The sequence below is a fragment of the Homo sapiens genome, chromosome 8, assembly GCF_000001405.40.
Source record: "Homo sapiens chromosome 8, GRCh38.p14 Primary Assembly".
NCBI classification, from domain to species: Eukaryota; Metazoa; Chordata; class Mammalia; order Primates; family Hominidae; genus Homo; species Homo sapiens.
This window is the reverse complement of record NC_000008.11, coordinates 36,870,812-36,894,731: the sequence shown is the minus strand read 5'-3', so window position 1 is coordinate 36,894,731 and position 23,920 is coordinate 36,870,812. Positions and strand designations below refer to the sequence as shown.

The 23,920-nt window shown below is 38.1% G+C and overlaps 1 protein-coding gene, 1 long non-coding RNA gene and 1 pseudogene across 8 annotated transcripts in view; 1 reads left to right on the top strand and 2 right to left on the bottom strand.

Annotated features, from left to right (window-relative positions):
• The window catches only part of LOC105379375 (uncharacterized), a 43,292-nt gene extending 30,476 nt beyond the window's left edge, over positions 1-12,816 (top strand). The window contains exon 3 of the long non-coding RNA XR_949672.3: positions 11,382-12,816. This is a non-coding gene — a long non-coding RNA (uncharacterized LOC105379375). The remainder of the gene's footprint in view (positions 1-11,381) is intronic.
• Positions 1-23,920, bottom strand: part of KCNU1 (potassium calcium-activated channel subfamily U member 1) — a 151,752-nt gene that overhangs the window by 41,394 nt on the left and 86,438 nt on the right. The gene's annotated exons all lie outside the window — the stretch shown is intronic.
• Positions 5,202-6,362, bottom strand: TPT1P8 (TPT1 pseudogene 8; annotated as a pseudogene).

The following is a 23,920-nucleotide window of genomic DNA, read 5'->3' as shown; positions in this document are numbered from 1 at the left end:
CAACTTCTTTGAATATATTTTCACAGGTAGTTGTGCCATGCAGACTATTCACAGAGGCCATTTAGGTACTTCAGACTCTGCCTTGACTCCTTGAATAAATAATAACTAAGCTGTATCAGTAACATATGTTAACATATTAAAAGCTGAGAGAAACCACTCACAACTATTTTCCTCATTTTTAAGTGATATTGATATTGCTTCTGATGTCTTCAATTCTTCCAGCAGTGATTTTTGCTGAAAGGTTAATAGTACTAGGTAGTTTTATTTTGTCTGGATACATTTTTTCATCTGCTGCAATCAAACACAATTTAATTGATTCACCATTAGTAAATGACTTCTCTTGCTTGGCTAACAAGTGAGTCACTCAGAAACAAACTTTGATTACAAATTCTGCTGTGCTAAGATGTTCTTTTAAAATTTTATAATTTTTCTAACCATGGCTTTACCATGAATTGAGAATATTGTGATAAGTGCCAAGTTTGATAATATCAACATATATTGTAGTCTTTTACCACAGTATACTTTCATTGAAATTAAGCACAATGCTTTTGTATGGCAAACCATATAAAAACAGGTAGTGAAGTGGATTTTGACTTCTAATCTAGAAAGCAGCCTGACATCATTTTAAAATAGCATTTGCATAGACCAAAGATATCACAAATACTCAGTGGCATTTGTTAATCGAAAATTTTTTCATGAATTATCTATATTTCTAACATTTTTGGATTTTTGGCTTGCAGATTAAAAGTGTCAAGTTAGAGATGAAGGAAGGCGTTGCTGCAAAGAGATGGTCTTAAACCAGGTTAAGGGACCATTACAAGTTTAATAGGAAGATGAAAAATAACTATAAAAAGTAACTACAAGGGACATTCTTCCAGAATGGCAGAGTTAGGGCCTTTGAATATTCACTATTCTACACAAGCAATGAGAATATTGACAAAAAAATTATCAAAATCAACATCTTCAGAGTTCTGGAAATAAACTGGAGACTTGAAACAATATGAGGAGTATTTGTTTAAGAAAAATGGTGAGATCTTGGTAAGAACAATAAGCTTCATGGCATTTTTGAGAAGTGCTATTCCCATTCCACTATCTTTAGTTCAACAGTAGCCATCAAGATCAGAAGCCTTACAATAACAGTAGCTCTGAAAACCAGCAGTCTAGCAGCCACCAGAGAGAAAAAATAGATCTGAAGCTGTTAAATATCCTTATTCACAGAATATGTTACTATTTGAGCTTTCTAGCAGCTCCCTGGAAGTGCACACTCACAGGGCTTATCTTTATTTGGCCTGGGAGTTTTCTCAGTGGAATTTTTCCGGAGGCATTTTAAAAAAATAATCAGCAGTAATTTTTTTAAATTGCAAATATCTGAGTTATAGTTAACAATGTCGCAAAAAAAAAAAAGACCCATAAAAATCTTCAAAAGAAAAAGCTGGAGAATTAGAAGTCTATAGAGAGGGCCAGATGTGGTGGCTCATGCCTGTAATCCCAGCACTTTGGGAGGCTGAAGCAGGTGGATCACCAGAGGCCAGGAGTTCAAGACTAACCTGGGCAACATGGCGAAACCTCATCTTTACAAAAAAAAAACAAAAAAAAACAAAAAGTAGCTAGGCATGGTGGCTCACACCTGTAATAACAGCTACTTGAGAGGCTGAGTCAGGAGAATTGCTTGATCCCAGGAGGCAGATGTTGCAGTGAGCTGAGATCATGCCACTGCATGCTGTCCTGGGTGACAAAGCAAGACTCTGTCTCAAATAAAACAAAAGAAAATAACAGACTTCTATAGAGGGTATTAAAAGGTTTTGAAACATTCACTGTAGGAAACTGAATAAAAATAAAACCATGTGCATGTGCAGAGTTGTAAATACACCCAGGGGAAAAAAAACCTGAGGTATTCCTAATCTCTTCTGGCTGATCTTGAGACTGCACAAACCAAAAATGAAGGCTTAGGCAAAGATGTAAACTGCTAAAGTGTCAAAGGAATTACCTCAACATGCACACAGAATCCCTTGGCAAATATAAGAAGACTTATCAGTTCAAGGCATTTAAGGAAATCTCAGTGCAATCATTAGCTGATCATAAAGCTGAGTAGAGATTTAAGTGTCAATATACAATAAACCATAGCAAAATAGTTTGTAGAGTTGTCATATAATATTATTTAAAATGCCTGGCTTTCAACAAAAAATTATGAGACACAAAGACACAGTAAGTATGGACCATACCTGGTGGGGGGTGGGGGGTGGGAACACCAATAGAAACTGTCCGGAAGGAAGCCCAGACTTTCTAGGCAAAGATTTTATAAGAGCCATTATAAATATATTTAAAGGACTAACTGAAACCATTTTTAAAGAACTAAAGAAAAGTATGAGAACAATATAGCACTGAATACAAAATATCAGTGAGGAGATAGATTATAAGAAAAAAACAAATGGAAATTCTGGAGTTAAGAAGTACAATAACTGAAAAGAAAATTTTAGTGAAGGAGCTCAGCAGCAGATCTGAGTTGGCAGAAGAAGGAATAAATGAGCTTGAATATAAGTCAATGGAGATAATGCAGTCAGAAAAATAGAAATAAAAACCTATTGAAGAAATATACACAGAAGCTTCAGAAAACTGTGGGACATCATCAAGTGTATCAACATACACAAAATGGGAGTTTCAGAAATGGGGGAGAGAGAGAAAGAAGAAAGAGTACTTAGATAATGGACACAAATTTTACATATTTAATGAAAACATTAACTTACATATCTAAGCAGCTAAAGGAAGTTTAAAGTAGAGTAATCTCAAAGAGATTCAGACCTGGATATACCATAATCAAATTGTTCAGAGCCAAGGGCAAAGAGGAATCTTGAAAGCAGCAAGTAAAAAGCAACTCAGCATCTACAAGGGATCCTTAATAAGATTAACAGCTAATTTCTCATCAGAAACCATGAAAGCCAGAAGGCAGTGGAAGAACATATATAAAGTTCTCAAAAAAAAGGCTTATCAGTTAAGAATTCTATATCCAACAAAGTATTATTCAAAAATGATGAAGAAATGGAGACATTTTCAGATGAAGAAAAATGGCCAGAATTGTTGTTTGCAAACTTTTATTACAAACGATACTAAAGAGTATTACAATTCCTTTAGGCTGAAATGAAAGGATGACAAACATTAACTTGCATCCACATTAAGAAACAGAGTGTCAGTAAAATTAATTACATAGGTAAATAGGAAAGATAGTATTATCTCTCTATGCATCAGTCCATCCATCCATCCATTCTTCCAAGCATCCATCCATCCATCCTTTTGTATTATCTTGTCTGACTTAAAATACAAGTTTGCAAAGCAGTTATAGGATTGTGTTGATGAACCTATAATATTATAAAGATGTAATTTGTATGATAATCATAGCATAAAGTTGGGCAAAGAAATGGAGCTACATAGAAGTAAAATAGTTATGTACTAGTGAAAATAAGACAGTATTAATATGAACTATATTGCTATAAGGTGTTAATTGTAATCTCCAAGGCAACCACTAATAAAATAAAAATACTCTAAAAGAAATCACAAGAGAATTAAAATGGTACAATAGAAAATATCTATTTAACAATAAAATAAGGCAGTAATGGTGGAATAGATTAAAAACAGACAAGAGACATATATAAAAAATACCAAATAGCAGACTTAAATGCTTCATTATTCATAATCAATTTAGGTATAAATAGATTACACTAATAAAAATACAGAGGTTGTAATAATATTCATAAAATATGTATTTCATTTACAAGAGACACAATTTAGATTCAAAGCAAAAATAGGTTGAAAGTAAAAGGATGGAAAATAACGGCATGAAAATAGTAATTAAAGGAGAACTGTAGTGGCTATACTAATAATAAACACAATAGACATCAAGAAAAAAGGTAATAAGTGTTAGCATGATTTATCTTTCTTCATTATTTTATTTTTAATCTGTCCAAATATTTATATTAAAAGTAGATTTCTTATATATAGCACATGTTGAATCTTGTTTCTTTATCAACTCTAACAATAGCTGTCTTTTAATTGTATTTATGCCACTCATATTGAAAAGATTGTTGATATGGTTGGATTAATGTCTACCACATTTGTAACTGTTTTCTAATTTGTTACATTTGTTCTTTCTTTCCTGTCTTCTCTGGTTTTGATTGAGCATTTTATATGATTTCATTTTATCTCTTTTTGTAGCACAACACAACACTTATATATATTTTTTTAAATTAGGAGTTGACCTCAAATTTGCAATATATATTTTTAACTGATTTAAGTTTCTCTTTGAAAAACACTACACTGCCTAATGTATAGTGCATGTAGCTTATTGCAGAGTATTTCCAACTCATCCTTTCCATCTCTTATGATGCTGCTGTCATTCATTTCAAGTATCTAGGTATATTGGTCACCTCATACAATTTTACTATTAATACCTTAAACAGTTATATTTTAAGTCAATTAAAAATAAAAAAAATTAATTCATTTATTCTGTCTTGAATATTCTTTATATAGATCTCAGTTTCTGATCTATATAATTTTCCTTCTGCCTGAAGGCTTTCTTACCATCTTTTGACATTTCTTCTAGGGTAAGCCTGCTGGTGATAAACTGCCTCAGTTTTTGTTTGAGGAAGTCTGCCTGTTTCCTTCAATTTTGAAGAAAATTTGTTTGAGGAAGTCTGCCTGTTTCCTTCAATTTTGAAGAAAAATTTTACTGCAAATAGGATTTTAGGTTGATGGGGTTTTTTCTTTCAATACTTTAATTCACTTCACTCTGTTCTTACTTATGGTTTCTGACAAAAAGACAACTATAATTATTTTCCGTGTTTCTCCATGGGCAAGATGACTTCTTTTCATTTGGGTTCTTTTGCAATTTTCTCTTTTTTTTCTTAGCAGTTTGAATATGATATGCATAGTTGTATATATTTTGTTATGTATCCTACCTGTTTTCTGAGCTTTCCAGGTCTGTGGGTTGGCATTATTAATTTTAGAAAGGTCTCAGCTACTATTACTTCAAACATTTCTTCTTCTCCATTTTTCTTTCTCCTCCTCATATTCCAGTTATGCATATATTCACATTTTAAATTTGTCCCACTTTCTTTTGATATTGTTCTTATTTTGTATTCTTCTTTATGCCCTTTTATATCAGTTTGGAAAATTTCTGAAGATGTATCCTCAAGAGTACTTATTCCCTCTCTTTCTTAGTTTAAATGCATTTTATTTTTAGACAATCTACATGACAAGTTTTTTTTTCCTTAAAAGTGATGCCTCCACACCAAATAAGTCAGAGTCAAAACAATTAAAAAGCTCAAGATGACATCAGTCTCATTTGTCTTAATCTCTGGTGTTGTGTTGATGACAAGTGGCAGCCAGTTATGATGACAGGTGATAGATCCAAAGTAATTACCAAATTTCTTAACATCTTTTAATTTCTAAACCATTCCTTAAAAAATCATATATGGGGTCATACTGACCATCCTTACGGTAGTTCAGCAGAGCAACCATGCCAGGTGGATTTAGGTTTTCACCAATAAAGAACTGGTAGTTTTGCTGGGCATATGGCTCATACCTGTAATCCAAGCACTTTGGAAGGCCAAAGCAGGTGGATCACTTGAGGTCAGGAGTTCGAGATCAGCCTGGCCAACATGGTGAAACCCTGTCTCTACTAAAAATACAATAATTAGCTGGGCATGGTGGTGTATGCCTGTAATCTCAGCTACTGAAGAGACTGAGGCAGGAGAATCACTTGAACAAAGGAGGCAGAAATTGCAGTGAGCTGTGATTGTGCCACTGCACTCCAGCCTGGGTGACAGAGCGAGACCCTATCTCAAAAAGAAAAAAAAATGGAACTAGTAGTTTTTAAAATTAGCAAAGATGTGCTTGATTTGTTCTTCATTCCTGTTATAAAAAGTTTCACTCTTTCTGGTCTCTGTTCTTCAAGTTTTTCGTTGATTGATTTCATGTAATCTTTGATATACTTCTTGTAGGCTTCTTTTGTGAAGATGCTTTCCTGCAAGTGATGGTTTGTAACAATATCAACACTAGTGATTATCGTGCTTTCAGTAACTTCATCCTCAGTACTTTCAGAGGAGGAATTTCTGCCAATGAGTGAGTCATCAGTGTTCCCTGTTGTCTTACTGAGCATCTTCTGCTCCACTTCCAGGCACAGCCCATTTGTGATCTCCCAGATCTTGTAAATGTCAGAGAACATCTCATTGTGGCTGATGAGGTCCTGGAAGATAATCGTGATGGGGCTGAAGGGAGATGAAGGTGGCACTAGCTTAGCAGAAGCCTGGAGTTCAGAGCACGGTGCAGCCAGAGTGGTGTTGTGGGGGAGGGAGGAGTGGCAGGAAAAGCTACTCTCCTTTTCACACTGTCCAGTCTACTGGTGAGCCAATCAAGGCATTTTCTATTTCTGTTACTGTGGTTTTGATTTCTAGTATTTCCTTTGATTATTTCTTAGGATTTCTACCTCTCTGCTTACATTGTCCATTCGTTGTTCCATGTTGTCTATGTTTTCTATCAGAGTCTTTAACATATTAATCATACTTATTTCAAATTCTGATAATTCCAAATTGGCATCATCTCTTAGTTTGTTTCTGTTACTTGGTTTTTCTCCTCTATAAAATAAAAATAAAATTCTAAATCCCCCTTTCCCCGACCAACTGAACAGACTCCCTCTTGGACAAGGGCAACCCAGAAAAATCTTTAAAAACTGAGTTCCCAGCCATGACAGGAGAGGAGATTAGATGAGCCTCATGATACCCCCGTCCCTTCTATTGTTTCAACATAACTACTGACTAGTATTAATGTTAAAATAGAGATTATAAGACTGACAGAACAGACACTTTGTGGCAATAAGATACCAAATTACAAATGGAACTTAAGGCCATTCTAGGCAAGGGTTAAGTCATGTACCCTACACCTAAGAAATAAATGACATTCTAACTGCCACAAAGCTTTTTGTTTGTTTCTCTAGCAGCTAAACAAGCACTGACCTCAAGATGAGCAATATTAAAACAATTTGTAGTTCACCACCACATTCTGACTAACTAATCTCTGTTCTACCAGCCATAACTACAGCTTTTATTGGACAAGAGACTGATTTCAGCACTTTCTACAGATAAGAAGACCATCAACCATGGATTGGTTCTGGCCGGTTTCCAGAAGATACACTCTTACATGCCTTCATGCCCTGAAAAGGCATTTTGATGTTTAGGGCCTAGTTGTGATACATTTAAATGTCTCATTTCTCCAAAAAAAAAAAAAAAAACAAAAAAAAACAAATGGCCAATAAACATGTGAAAAAATGCTCAACGTTTTCAGAAAAATGCTCAACTAATCATCAGATAAATGCAAATTAAAACCACAATGAGATATCACCTTTACTCCAGCCAGAATAGCCATTATTAAAAGTCAAAAAACAGTGGATGTGGCAAAAAGGGAATGCTTCTACACGGTTGGTGGGAATGTAAATTAGTACAATCTGTATGGAAAACAGTGTGGAGATTTCTTAGAGAACCACAAGCAGATCTACCATTCAATTCAGCAATCCCACTGCTGGGTATCTACCCAAAGGCAATATAAGTAATTATGTCAAAAAGACCCCTGCACACATATGTTTATTGCAGCATAATTCACAATTGTAAAGATATGGAAACAACCTATGTGCTTATCAACTGATGAGTGGATAAAGAAAACGTGGTATATATACACCATGGAATACTACACAGCCATAAAAAAAACAAAATAATGTATTTTGTCACAACTTGGATGAAAGTAGAGTCCATTATTCTAAGTGAAGTAACTCAGTAATGGAAAACCAAATACTGTATGTTCTGACTTCTAAGTGGGAGCTAAGCTATGGGTATGCAAAGGCATACAGAGTGGTATAAGGGATACTGAAGATTCAGAAGGGGGACATTGGGAGGAGGATGAGGGATAAAAAACTACATATTGGGTACAATGCATACTGCTTTGGTGACAGGTACACTAAAATTTCAGACTTCACCACGATGCAATTCATCCATATAACCAAAAAACCACTTGTACCCCTAAAGCTGACATTAAAAAAATATTAAGTCTCCACCCCAAGGTAAACATGGGTCTTATGTTGCATGCATATCCATAGCTCTTCCTGTAACCTGTTGAATACGTTTGTTTTGCCAACCTGTTCAACATAAATCTCCTACCTCAACCCCTTCTCCTTTGAAATTCCTGTTTCTGTTTTTTTCTGGAGGCACACTTCCCGGCTTGTGGGATGGCCACCTTACAGGCTGTAACCTTTTACAAGAAATAAAGTCTCCTTTCCGAATTTATAAATGGTGTGGTTTTAAATTGAACATCTCAGAGAGAGTTTTGTTTTGTTTTTGGCTTTTTGCATTCTTTGCAATTTTGTTTTACAATAGGATATGTTATATTGGATAATAAGAACTGAGGTAAATAGGTGTTCAGTGTGAGGTTTTATGTTAATCTAGCTAGGAATTGCACTGTTTGTTTGCTGTAGCTGCAGTTTTCAGAGGCTCTAAATTCCTCTAGTGTCATTGCTTTTGTCTACTTTGTTGTCTTTGGGTTTTCCTAAGAACTCCTTCTTGAATAATCTGTTCCTTGCACCTCTTTCAACTATAATTCACTTTTGTGATACTGAAGCCCTATTGGTGTGGTGGTAATGTGTGGGATACGGGAAGATTATATGATTGTATGATGAAGTCTCAGATTTTTCGTGGGTCTGTTTTTGGAGGCTGTGACCATCAGCATGGATCTTAACTCCCCATGTTTCTCCTTTCTTCTTCAGGTGATACAGGGGTAGAGTAGGAGACATGCCATTCCCTCAGCTGAGGCAAAGCCCTGGGAAAGTATTTTTTCCCTGGAGAGCAGGTCCTTGTAATGGAGAATGCTCTGATTGTATTTCTTTTTTCCTTTTTCTTTTTTTTTAGACAGAGTCTTGCTCTGTCTCCCAAGCTGGGGTGCAATGGCACAATCTTGGCTCACCACAACCTCCACCTCCTGGGTTCAAGAGATTCTCCTGCCTCGGCCTCCAGAATAGCTGGGATTACAAGCGCCCACCACCATGACCAGTTAATTTTTGTATTTTTAGTAGAGATGTGGTTTCGCCATGTTGGCCAGGCTGGTCTCGAACTCCTGACTTCAGTTTTTTTTATTTTTTTAATTTGAGACAGAGTTTTGCTCTGTTGCCCAGGCTGGAGTGCAGTGGTGCGATCTCACACACTGCAACCTCCTTCTCCTGGCTTTAAGCGATTCTCCTGCTTCAGCCTCCCCAGTAGCTGGAATTATGGGCACCCACCAACATGCCCTGCTAATTTTTGTATTTTTACTAAAGACGGGGTTTCATCATGTTGGTCGGGCTGGTCTTCAACTCCTGACCTCAGGGGATCTGCCCGCCTCGGCCTCCCAAAGTGCTAGGATTATAGGCGTGAGCCATCGTATCCGGCCACTGGTTGTTATTTCACAATGGTTACTTTTTCTCTCACCCTGCCAGTCTCTGAGGGACTTTTTCTAGGCCTTTCATTGGAAAATTCCTAGAGCCTGGTAGGATTTCTGAAGGCAAAACCCTCCAAAGTGTGCCCCCAGGAGTTTCTCATTCTATACCTTATCCACACTCAGCCTCTAGTAATTTATCCCAGTTATCATGTAAATATTCCTACTAGTTTACAGCTTCAGTGCTTCCCCCAGTGAGCAGATCTCAGCTGCGATTCTCCACATTTCTGGATTTTGCCCTATAACCTCAGTTTCACTGATGGGCCAAGAAAAGTCTCCAATTTTCAGTTTGTTTAGTTTTTTTGTTATTGTAAGGACAGGAGTGATGACTTCAAAGATCTTTACAAGCCAGAGTTAAAACTGGAAATTCAACCACAGCTTTCCTTATTCACTAAGACTGCTTCTCCTAGGCCACAGAATCAAGAGGCTTGGTTTTCTTTCTTTTTTTTTTCCTGGTTTTTATTTTTATTTTTTATTTTTTTGAGATGAAGCCTCACTCTGTTACCCAGGCTCTGTTACCCAGAAGTCCAGTGGCTCAATCTTGGCTCACTGCAACCTCCACCTCCTGGGTTCAAGCGATTCTACTGCCTCAGCCTCCAGAGTAGCTGGGAGTACAGGTGTGCACCACCATACCTGGCTAATTTTTGTACTTTTAGTAGAGACATGGTTTCACCATGTTGGCCAGACTGGTCTGGAACTCCTGACCTCAGGTGATCCACCCACCTCAGACTCCCAAAGTGCTGGGATTACAGGCATGAGCCACCGCGCCCGGCTACTGGTTTTCAAATGTGGCTCACATCACGGCATACCCTGCCACGCATTTAACCTGAAAACTCCCCTTTCAGTAATTAAATACATTTGCTTCACGGGTCATTATGATGTGATTTATGACATATGTGTAATTGTCAGAATTACTGTGGGTAATTAAAATATGAAGTGAATGCTGCCAGAGGCTTTAGTCCCTCTCAATGTCCTCATTAAAAATCAGGAGCTGACCAAATTATAAATAGACTGGTTTGCACAAGTTCCCAGCAAAACCTAATTATGAAACTTATCCTTATTCTATCAGAACTCACTCCATTAGTCATGCAAATTCTGAAAATGATTAAGTTATTTTATGTGCCGGAATTGTGGAATTAATAATAAAGAGGTGGGTAACAGTAATTAGCCATTACTATGAAACTTCGTTATCTCAGGTCACTCTGGGTCAAAGTTGCAAGTCTTCCCAACCCCACACCCAACACACTGAAGAAGCATCCCTACCTTTCAGATAGTTTAACACATGAATTAATGGTTTTAGTGAGTTTATGATAACTTTTTAAAATGAAAGCTAAACTAGGAGAAGGAAGAGGATTTATGAACTCTGCATGAGGTAGTATTTTGCAACTGATTGGACACAGATATTTGGCAACTATAATCAGCAGAAGTCTTTTTTTTGAGACAGGGTCTGGCTCTGCAATCCAGGCTGGAGTGCAGTGACATCATCTCAGCTCACTGCAGCCTCGACCTCCTGGGCTCAAATGATCCTCCCACATCAGCCTCCCAAGTAGCTGGGACTACAGGCATGAGCCATCACACCTGGCTAATTTTTGTGGTTTTCTTTTTTTGTAGAGACAGGGTTTCACCATGTTGCCCAGGCTGGTCTTGAACTCCTGGGCTCAAGTGATCCTCCCACCTCTGCCTTCCCAAGTGCTGGGATTACAGGCATGAACCATGTTGCCAAGCCAGTGGAAGTCTTTCCTCCCAGAAAAGGCAAAGCACAACAAGGAGAAATTAGTTACCCTGAGGTTGTTTCTAGATATGACAGCGGGAACAGGAGTAAATGATAAAGTTCAAAGCTTAGATGATTATGTCTCATTTTCTCTCTAATTTCACAGATAGGGGATTTAGCCTGGAAAGAATATATGACTGCCAGTTACTAAGTGAGCCAGACATCAAGCCTAGTGCCACGTGTCTCTTCTTTAAAGCATGATAGGTCACCAACTGAAGAGGAAATTGGTGAGCATCAACTTTCTCAGCATGGTGAGAGAACATTGATGGCTGGTTCATGCTAAATGTCCAGAGGAAAGAAAAGGTAATTCACTGATTGTTCAGCCTGGTGAATTTTAACCTCTCATGAGACAAGAAAATTACTATGTGGAAACACAGACATCATGATGCTTATTCAGAAGATGCTAAGAACTTTGATGACTCATTCAATATATCTTTGTAAAAGTAAATGAAATGCAAAAGATAAGGAAGGCAAAAAAGAGATGGATAGAAAAGGAAGGGAAGGAGAAGAAAGAAAAAAGAGAAATGCATATTTTATAGAATGATGCAATATTTAACAGTTAAACAAATGTGGCGGGTGGGCCTGGTGGCTCACGCCTGTAATCCCAGCAGTTTGGGAGGCCGAGGTGGGAGGATCACCTGAGGTCAGGAGTTCGAGACCAGCCTGACCAACATGGAGAAACCCCATCTCTACTAAAAACATAAAATTAGCTGGGTGTGGTGGCGCATGCCTGTAATCCCAGCTACTCAGGAGGCTAAGGCAGGAGAATCGCTTGAACCTGGGAGGAGGAGGTTGCAGTGAGCCAAGATCGTGCCACTGTACTCCAGCCTGGGCAACAAGAGCAAAACTCCACCTCAAAAAAAAAAATAGTGAAATGTTTATGTATCAGCCTATGGGGGCTCAGTGCTGCCAATTTGGTGAGGACGATGGGGTTTATGCAAATGTCCTTTTGTAGACGCAATGAGAAAAAAGAGGCAGAGAAGGGGCAAGAGGTATCTCTCACAGGAATACAGAAATTCTAGCTCTGCATACATAACTAATTGACTGCCTGTATAAACTCAACTATCTGAAATTCACCCTTTTACACACTCTGTCTCTGGGTTAAGGACAGAAAACTTTCTGTGCTACTCAAGAATGAGATCTCAAATGAAAAGGAGCAACGCTGTGAACTTTGCCTGGAAAGAAACATTCCTCCACAGCCCTGCTGGTTTCAGGTGTGATTGGTAAATATGGACTTTTAAATGGGCTTATCCAAATGACATCCTCACATGAATGAGACAAATAGAAACTCATATGAAAGGTGCTTTCGGAAATGACATAAAAGAAGAAATGATTGAGACAAGGGAGTCAAGAGGTGTGGTAAGAGAGAATGGGTCTCTTTTTGGAGAGGCTGTAGATGACTGTCTGCAAATCGCTCCTAGTAAGGTAGCACTTTTAAGAGATGGTGGAGAAAGGGCTGAACATTTAGGGATCTGGGGATGAGGAGATGAGTAACAGAGATTGATAAACTTGTGAAGATGCAGAGCTTTATAGGAGAGAAGGTAAGAATCTGGCTATAACATGGTAACTCAAATACCTATCTTTGACAAATGTAGGGGCCAGTAAACTTGAATGTGTGTGTGTGTGTGTGTGTGTGTGTGTGTGTGTGTGTGTGTGTGTGATTTGACTTTTCCCAGCAACACCATGAGGTAGGCAGGAAAAAATATTTTTATCCACATTTTATGATGAAGAGAAATTAAGTGACTCACTCAAATTCTCAAGATGGTGAGCAATGAATTTGAATTCCAGACACTCAGGTTTGTGTCTATTTTCTGTTCCTCTATAATATGCCAGTACTTTGTACAACTACTCAGAATGGACGTCATAGTGTGTGTGGAGACTAGGTGAGGAAAATTTCATGTTTCCCCCTCCTCTTAAAAAGTTGGTTGGCTTGGCCAGATGAAATGGCTCACGTCTGTTAACTCCAGTGCTTTGGGAAGTGAAGGTGGGAGGATCACTTGAGGTCAGGAGTTTGAAATCAGAGTGGGCAACAGAGTGAGACCCTATCCCTACCAAAAATTTAAAAAATTAGCTGGGCATGGTGGCTCATGACTGTAGTACTAGTTACCCCAGAGGCTGAGGTGGGAGGATTGCTCAAGTCTGCTATGATGGTGCCACTGCACTCCAGCCTAGATGACAGAGCAAGATGCTGTCTCAAAAACAAAAACAAACAAACAAAAAAACAGTTGGCTGGCCTTTTAGTGAGTTAACTTTCTCTCCTCCTCCAATGGTTGCAAAGCCTCAGAGCTTTGTAGAAGGGCTCCCGAAAGGTTTAGTGGCTGCCCGGTCTTGTCAGTGGCGGCAGCTAATGACCCCTAAGGGCACATTGCCCTTCAGTGTGTAGGAAGTCTTGGAGCACCATGTTCCTCCCTCCTCTGTGAGATGCTGAGAACTTCCAGGGTGCTCCTTTTATTTTTTTTTATATTGATGCCCAGGGCCCTGCAAAGCAATCCACATTACTCAGAATCCTTCATGTCCCATCCCCAAGCCCAACAACAGGATGTTTGCAGTATTAGTCACTCACTCAAAGAATATTCAATTCTTTCTGTGCATCTTTCTTTTTGTTCTACCAGGTTTTTATTTTCTCAGCTTTTTAGGAAAAAAGTAATATGACACATTTACCTCCAAATGTGGAGGTGGATGCCTCAGCAAGAGGCACTCAGGAAAAACATGCATTTGAAAACTGCAGTTTTTGGCTGCTGGTGCCAGATACAGCCACCTCATCTCTTGCTTGAAACCCAAACAGGGTGACTGCCAGTCAGGGATTCCAACCAGCTGGTGGGATTGGCCTAAAGCATCTGACAAAGGGATCCCTTTCCTCAACAGCAACTTCCCCACCTCTTTCTCTCTCCTTTTTGCTTGAGAACGCAGTTTTGCACTTGTCCTTCATACCAATAACTGGAGGGTGGGAATTATTCAGAAAGCCTGTGTTCGACACCCCATCTGTTCATTTCTGACAGCAATATATAATGTAAGGCTATAAAAACTTGAAAAATAATGCAACATAAAAAGGGATTGACTCAGCTCCAAGAGGCCATAAATGGTAACAAATACCACTGGATGATTTATTTCATGCTGCAATCTTTACAGTAAGTCATCTTTCAGACATTTCCTTGTGACAGGTTTTAATAATATTAATGCCCAGAGCAATCCAAATCATCGCCAATAGACGTATTTATCAAGCTGCCAATCCGAGTAAATGAAATTCTATAAGCAATAATGTAACATGTTTAAAAGAAGCTAATAAAACAAGTCAGCAGAGAAATATTACTTCAAAGTATTCTCTCCCTCTAATCCAGTCCTGCATGTTATACAGCCAAAATGCAAATCTTTCCATACTTGATTTATTGCTCCAAAAATACCAATGACCTTTTCCCAAGCTTCTGTATATTCACTCTCATACATTCATAAAGCCTGCAGTACATCCTGCCAGAGTTGCTGTACGCTGGAGTGCTTAGCATTTATTGTTATGTTTGTCTTGCTTTTACGCAAGTACTTGATTGGCGGTTGGAGTGAATAACATCTAAGTTTCCAAGCCTTATTAAAATGTAACAAATACCCGAACCATAAACCAATCTTTTACAGTGCCCACTCGAGGCAGGCCTTCCAGAAGATCTGAGAAAGTGACTTGAGCAAAGTCCTAGTGATTTACTATTACAGTTGCCAGGTAAATTTCACCTGAGGGAAAGCCAATCAGGTTTGCTTTGCTTTGTACTAATTTTTTTCTTATTCCTACAGATCACAGAATGCCAGCTGTTGAAGCATTCGGCATTTTAAATGCAGCTCAAGACCTGCCTCCTGCAGGAAGCCTTCCTTATTAATTTCCCCAATTTTCTGATCTCTAGCACAATACCTGACCCATCCCTCAACACAGCTTTCTCATTAATAAATTCATGAAAGCACAACGCATATCAAAGGCACTCAACAAATATTAGATGGAAATATGCTCTGCATTAATTTATTCAATCAATTCTGCAATTAATTGATAGCTAATTTTTCTTGCATACCAGACATACATTTCTCAAGGTTAGATTTATACCACAAGTGTGTGCTATACCACTGAGTACCTAGTAGGTATGGCAAACATGTAATTTTATATAAAATTACAGCATATATGGGTATATATATAACCTAAAAATATATTTTTATATATCTCATATATTTCATATATGTGTGTGTATATATATATATATATATATATATATACACACACACACACACACACATACATATATGCCTGAATTGCACAAGTACTTGATTGGCAGCTGCAGTGAATAACGTCTAAGTTTCCAAGCCTTATTAAAATGCAAGAAATACCCAAGCCATAAACCAATCTTTTACGGTGCCCACTCAATGTAGACCTTCCAGAAGATCTGAGAAAGTGACTTCAGCAAAGTCCCGATGATTTGCTATCATAGTTGCTAAGTAAATTTCACCTGAGAGGAAAGCCAGTCTGAATTTTCCTATATATAAAATTGTTCATATATAATATATATAAAACATATATTATATAATGTATTAAAATGTATTATATATTTATATACATATACAATATAAATATATATTTTATATAAAATATGTAAATACTTTTCAGCATTATCCTATCAATTAGGGCAGATATATATGTATAATTATATTTTATATATATAAAATATACACATATGTCCTAATTGATGTGATAATGCTTAAAAGTATTTATTTACTATGACTATTGTTCTTGTGCTTATTTGGAATAAATCCTTTGGAGTTTCTTCCAAGTCCATATCTGCACTCCTTTACTTCTTTGAGAACTATTTCATCCCCTACCCAATGGTCAAGTTTGTTCCCAATGTCTCCATTTCCTGATATAACACAGAAAGCTGACTTGAGCTGAGTCAGTTGGATACTCTCTTCTTGTCATGAGAAACTGGGAAACTGAGAAGCTAGTCACCTAGTTTGTGAGCAGGGATATGACTTCAGCACAGGGACAACCATCTGCTGCTTTACAGAGGTAAAGAGAGCCTTTGTATGGAGGGTGAGGTCTACACCACAGCTCACATGGACCCGTGGTAGAGTGCAGCTGACAGAGCAGCCTCCTTGGGTGGGGCACACAGATTTCCCATTCCTGGTTCCAGTCTCACCTGAAGGCCAACATCACTTTCTCCCTTAGAGTTTTTCTGATCTGAAATTCCTTATCAGAAATTTTCTTGTCTTTATTTTTAATTGGTTTCTCTTACTTGCAACTAATTGGGCATTATTTTAAATACTTTTATTGCTAAATCAGCTTTTTAAAATACCACATAAGAGACATATTTTTGTTTGAAAAGAGATCATTCTTTATAATGAGAAGCTAGATATTGTTGGGATGTTAATAAAATACAAAGTCCTTTTTATCTTGGTAATCTGGGGTATTTAGAGTTGAGTTTTGGAATATTCTTGGAATGCAGTGAGAATTTATTAGGCAAAGATGGGAAGACAGAAGAACATTCTATGTATACACACAGGACCAAGGCAGATAAGAAGTATAATGCATATTTGGACAAGTGAGAGGGTAGAATATAGTTCGAGTTTAGAGGGCTTTTGAGAGATAGGAGCTATATGATAACGGGCATTGTTAAGGATTTTGATCTCATTCTTAAGGGCATGGAGAAACCATTCCAGGGAAGCAGTATTTCACATTTTCATTTTTTATGCATCCCTCAAGCTGTGATATAAAAATAGAGAAGAAGGGACAAGTGTAGATATGGAAAGACCACACCAGAGTATATTTCAGTGTTTGTCTAGGAAGAGAAGACAGTAGCTTGATTTGGGATTAGAATTAAAAATGGAAAAACTAGGCCAGGTGTGGTGGCTCATGCCTGTAATCCCAGCACTTTGGGAGGCCGAGGCAGGAGGATCACCTGAGATCAGAAGTTTGAGACCAGCCTGGCCAACATGGTGAAACTCCATCTCTACTAAAAATACAAAAATCAGCTGGGTGTGGTGGTGGGCGCCTGTAATCTCAGCTACTTGGGAGGCTGAGGCACGAGAATTGCTTGAACCCAGGAGGCAGAGGTTGCAGTGAGCCAAGACCATGCCATTGCACTCTAGCCTGGGCGACAAGAGTGAAACTCCATCTCAAAAAAAAAAAAAACAGAGGAAAAACTAGAGATTTAAGAAATCCTTAGGAATAAAATAGAGAAAGCAAGAGGCTTGACTGAATTGAGGAGAGAAACCCTTCTCACATCTTCCTCACTTGATTCTATGAATCCTTACCCCAACTGCTAGCCCAGATGTGAGGAATCTGCAGCCCCTGCTGGGTTCACTGGATCGTCTGCTTTGCCCTTCATTTTTGCTTATTTTAGAGTGTGCTTCTAAGTGCAGGTAACAGAGAGTTAGAGAGAAATCAGGTGCTTGGGAAAAGTGTTGATTTTATAATTGCATTCTCTAATTTGGTATAGTAAATTATTTTTCCAGAATCCAGTTGCTCTTCCTACTTCTCCGTTTCTTCTCTTGTCTCCTCATCTCCTTTCTGCTTCAGTGCTCCCATCACCAACATCTGGCCTTGTGTGTGTGCTGTGATTCTCAGGGTGGAAACAGGCCAGCCAGGGCGTATATTATTAGACAAGGGTTTGAAGAAGCCTCTTATCCCCTGACATTTTTATATCCATACCTACATACACACCTACCTTGAAAAGTACTGTTTCATCTCTTCTCTACTCTTATTTCTTGGCTTGAAAAAATACCAGAACCAAATGTAGTGGCTGCAAGGTGAACTGAAGGAGAGGAAAGGAGGAAGAAGTGGGAGGAGGAGGAGAACTTGAGGCAGCGCCACAGATCTGGAGGTGGGGATAAGAATGTCTGGTGACAGAGCACCTCATTAGGAATGCCTACCCTGCCCTACCTCCAAGAAAGAACATGGTTCTAGATGGGAAGATAGACCTTGAAAGACTGTTGGAAGGAGGGATAGAATCAGGGTTGACAGAGATGATCTGCTTGTGTAATTATACAAACATGTTTCTTCTGTGATCTTATTCCTGATTCCCTAAAGACTGAGAGTCCTCTGACATAGCTCTTTGACTTTGAAAAACAGAAAAATGTAAAAGCCACCCAGGATGGTTCCTTGTCTGTTTTCTTTTTTAACGCATTCACCCAAATCTTTCCCAATTAGCTGTAAAGAAACACAGATAGAATCTATGTAGAGAAGTCAAAGCCTTATGCCAGTGGGTTCATAGATTTTGTATTTTTGCTCAGCTCAGAACTTGTCCTGTGTCGGCCTAGGGGATGCATGATGGAAATCGATTAGTTTGAGTGGGACCTCGGTGGCTGTGGGCAGGAGATACTGGAACTGTTCCTGGAAGACTAAACTCACAAGCCAAGCAGATACTTGACCTGGCCCTAAAAATCCCTTCAAATTGTCTTTTGCCTCTGGGCTATCTCTAAGTCTCTTAAAACTGGTTTCCAAGGCTGATCCATTAAAGAATTTCTCAAAGGAATAAAACAGAAGTCAAGTGAGAAAAAAGAAAGCACGTTGCCCATGGTCCTGGCAGCAGATATCTATGCTGTGGGCAACAGCTGAAACCAGGGATTTTTAGAAAGAAGGTCTCTGGATATTTATATTTATACCTAAACAGTGTAAAATCCAGGCACCAGGCTTGACTGAGTATAAAATCAAACAATATTTCAGTTGAAGCAAAGCTAGCTAATCTGCACGAAAATATTTTTCATAAAAATATTATTCTATGAACTAGAAATTTTAATGTGCTCTTTACTTGTAATAAAATGTGAATATAAAGGTATTAATCATAATTATTACATGCAATAAGTAAATAGAAACTGGACATTTTTATTTTGGAAGGTCATTTGCATTGCTCTCAATTACAAAGCCCTATCACTGGATTAAAAGGCCACTTTGAATCAAAGTCTGTAAACTTTGCCACTCCTTATTTTTAGCTATTGTAGATCTTCCAGTATATATATAATATATCTGTAATGTGTGTGTGTGTATATATATCTCTGTAATGTATATATGTTATATATAATAACATATATAAAACACTATTATATATCTGTAATATATATTATATATCTGTAATTATATATGTAATGTATGTATGTATTGGTATGTATAAATAAGTCATACATATGTGTGTATATACATACACACACATACATGTGATTTATTTTGGTTGATTCTTATGTATCAACACCAAAATCTTTCCCTAAAGAGTAATTTATCTGCAATATATGCACTATCAATCCTAATAAAATGCATTAAAATATTTCTTCCATTATCTAAACAGAACATTTTAGAAGTTTGAGACGGACAGAAAATGGCAGCTTCTTTCACATTTATACATGGCCTTATGATTTTTTTTAACTAGCTTTTTCCCCACTGGTACCTTAAATGTAGATGAGATATAATACCACTTACATTCATTAGGAGGAAACCAGGAAGCAGAAGGGCAACAACCTGGCTGCGTTATGATTGGAAGTGGGCTTAGAACCCCTCTGGGAGGAACAGAGGGGTTCTAAGGAAGGAACAGAATCCCTCTGGTGGAACAGAGAGCAGGGAGGGAAAGGGACGTTCAAGGAGAAAAATCTGTTAAAGGTGCCTTTTCTTAACCTTCTCTCGGTAAGAAAGGTTTTCCCAATTAAATCGGGACTGTTACACACTCCATACTCATTTGTTCTTGATGTTTATTTTAAAAGGTATAAATAATTGTACGAAAGCCAATAATATATTGTGTTGGGTAAGCTAATAATCTATAGTGTTGGGTAAACAGCCTTTATATTTGATGCTAAATTGAGGAGGACAATAATGGTTGTGTCCTCACCTAACCCACAGAGCCCCAAACACTCCTCATGGGATGAAGCCCGGCTCAGGGATGATGCCACCAAGACCTCCTGCCCAGGGAGGGCACGTGGTGGCACCTGTGCCTGGGACATCACATGAATGTCCTGCCACTCTGTACCATCCTTGAGTGAGGGTAGAGTGGCGTTCCCACTATGACCCTGTGAGCAGGGGAAACTCCAGATTTTAAAATGAAAATGAGGGCTTATTTCTTATCTTTACATAAGGACTGCCCCCACAGAATTCTATATAATAATCTACTCATTTAGAGTGTAAAACAGAATAGCATTTAGGAAAAAAAATGATTTCCACATGTTTTAAGGAACATGACTATTGCTTAAAGCGAGATGGGCTTATAAATAAAAAAGAATGGTGACTACTCGGCTTTTCCTGGGGCTTTGAAGAGAATTGAGTAGGTTTCCAGGGAGTCAGATTATTTGGTTTACTTCTTAGCACTATCTGCAGCAATATTTCAGAGTGAAATAAGTAAAATATCTGTTCCTTTTCATTTGGCAGCAGAAAAGATCTAGGGAAAAAAATAAATAAGAAATATGTAATCCCCACGGTGTAATCCCACGGTATGGAAACTCACTTCTCTTAAATACCTCCCTCTGGCATAATTGACTTTTCATGTGCATTTTAATAATGATATTTCAGCAGGTTGCAAGAGATTTTTTTTCTCCTGTTGTTGTTGTTGTAAATTATGACTTGGAAAAAAAGTGTTATAAATCTAATTACATTTTCACTTATATTAACAAGTCAGCACAATCTTCCAGCATGTTTACCAAGCAATTCCAATATTTACAGCTGACCTAATTGGTTGTGGGGTAGAAGCAATGAACAATATTTTATTGTCCTGATCGTTGCGCATGTGCTTAAGAGAGCTGCCAACTTGTAAAGCTGCCCAGCAACCCTGAAGTTCTGCCTGCCTTGTGCTTGCAGTCCTCAGCCAGCTGTGGAACAGAGAGCAGGGAGAGAAAAGGGCGTTCAAGGAGAAGAATTTGTTAAAAGTGCCTTTTCTTAACCCTCTCTTAGCAAGAAAGATTTTCCCAATTAAATGGGGATTGTTACAGATTCCACACTCACTTGTTCCTGATGTTTATTTTAAAACGTATAAATAATTGTATAAAAGCCAATAATATATTGTGTTGTGTAAGCCAATAATTTATAGTGTTGGGTAAACAGCCATTATATTTGATGCTAAGTTGAGGAGGACAATTATGGTTGTGTCTTTGACTTTCACTATCAAAACTGGCGTGGTCTTAGGAGCCAAGCATGGGTCTAATATAGGTGGAGAATTCTTACATTCTCATATCTTTAAAGAAAGGGGTGGGGGTTGGGGCCAGGGGAAGGAAAGAAAGAAAGTAATTATTCTTAGTAGGCAAGGACCACATTGCTTCCTGGGGAGAATGAGACAGGGTCTACCTCTCTTATTACTAAAGGTGAGTTCTGCTGCCACTTTGCCACCCCCACAGGATGTAAATTGTTGGGGTTTTTTGTTTGTTTGGTTGGTTAGTTTATTTTTTGAGATGGAATTTCGCTCTTGTTGCCCAGGCTGGAGTGCAATGGTGCAATCTTGGCTCACTACAACCTCCACCTCCCAGGTTCAAGTGATTTTCCTGCCTCAGCCTCCTGGGTAGCTAGGATGACAGGCGTGACGGGGTTTCACCATGTTGGCCAGGCAGGTCTCAAACTCCTGACCTCAGGTGATTCACCCACCTTGGCCTCCCAAAGTGCTGGGATTACAGGCATGAGCTACTGCACCCAGCCCAAGATGTTAATTGAAATAACATTCATCTCTAAGTCCTCTGTCTTACCTACTCAAACTGTTGGTGTTAGCACAAATGCAGAATTTTAATATTAGCAGAAAGCTGCTTTGTGGTGACTCTCCAGACCTTGACTTCAATTATTTTATGGGAAACTCCTGACTCTTGTGTAGTGATAATTGCTAGCATTTATTGAAGGCTTACTACTCAATGCTGGGAACTTCTCTCAAAGTCTTATACTTAATCTTCTCATCATTTCTATGAGATTGTATTATTTATTTTACTGGATGGGGGATCTGAGCCACAGGACAGTAAGTGACTTGCTTATGGTCACAGAGCATGAACATCACAGAGCTGTGATCTGACAATCTACAGTTTACTGCTGGAGCCCCCACCATAGTTACAGGGCGGGGCGGCGTCCCCCTTTATCTCTCTTTCTGAAGCCAAAAAGCTAACATAGCATAGCATGCGATAGGCTTCGAGATGTGGTATTGGATGTACATAGAAGACTCTTATTGGATGTTGCCTAAAATTATACCTCCCCTATACGTTGACACCTGAAATTTGTTAGTTAGGGCTTTGTTCCTTAGCTGAAGTCCCTGATCCATGATGAAAGGGAAGCTGCCCCAGAAGGGTTAATATTTTATTCTTCTGTTTTTGCAAATGAAGTTTTAAATAATAGATGTTGATGAGGACATTTAAATACCTGGGGACTGTGAGCCCCTGAGAAAGATGATGATAAGGTGTTACTCAGAGGGCAAATAACACAAAGTGAAAATCAGTGCGATTTGCCTACTTCACATTTTTTTTTCTTGGAAACTATGCAAGTCATGTCTCAAGGCCTTGAAGAGAGTTTTACTTAGAAACAGTGACTAAGCTTCGCATAACCTTCACTTTGTCTTATAGAGTTGGTCTTTTATATATGACCCTAAACAGACAAGGTCTCATTCCTGCCTTTTAGGAGATTATAAATGAAATGAAGAATAAAAGCATGCAAATAGTAGTTAACTAATGCAAATAAATATATGCACTCAGTAAATGATCAGTCATCCCATAGTAATTTTTATCGCAATGATCTGAGGGCCACTTCCTCATCTTAGCACCCAGCCAAATCAATTTCCATACCCGTAATTCCAGGAGAATTTGTTTTTAGTTTTTTAAAAGACCTGTCCACAGACTCACAAAGATATTTACAAAATGCCTTGTCTCTCCTTTATTATAGTCTGTGAAGCTAGGCAGGATGAGGGAGATGACAGTAACGAAGAGAGATGCTGACTTTTCTATGGTACAATTCTGATGCTTTTAAGAAGCCTGAAGCTATTTTTCTGCTATTTTTAAGCAATAACAATAAAATTTTGTTTGTTAATCTAAAGAATCAGATTATTCAATACATACCTGATGAATTATTGCTCGCTCTCTCTCTCTCTCTATGTATATATATATATATATGGTACTTTGCTAGGATTGTGGCACATTGCTTCCCAAAAATGGGATTTTCACCTATGAATACAAAATAAGAACTAGAAAAGAGGTATTTAGAGGATCTGAAGGAAAATATCTAGTCATCTTTTCAAAATTCTTATTCTTATATTCCCTGCCACCCTAACTCTTTCATCTGTCTTTGGAACTCAGGCTCATTGTGATTAAAAGTATAGTTTTTATATGTATATGTGTATGTATATTTTCAATCCTACCTCTAGATTATCCCTATAATTATATGAGAATATATTTAGTCCTGCTGTCTTCTTTGGTCTTGCTATTGAGACCTGATGAAGATATTTATTAAACTTCATTGCAGACACATAGCCCTGCTAGGGATTCTGGTGGTCCCAAATTATACCATCAATTAAAATGAGAGAAAGCATATTTTAAAGGTTCTAAAATCTCAGGTGGAAAACCATAGAATGGGAAACATAAGTGCCAATGGGACTCTTGGGGAAAGGTAACTCTGAAAGATGAAATACTGGCCATATAGTGTTAAGTGAATGTAGATTTCCAGAACATGATTTGAAATGCTACAGTAAAGGC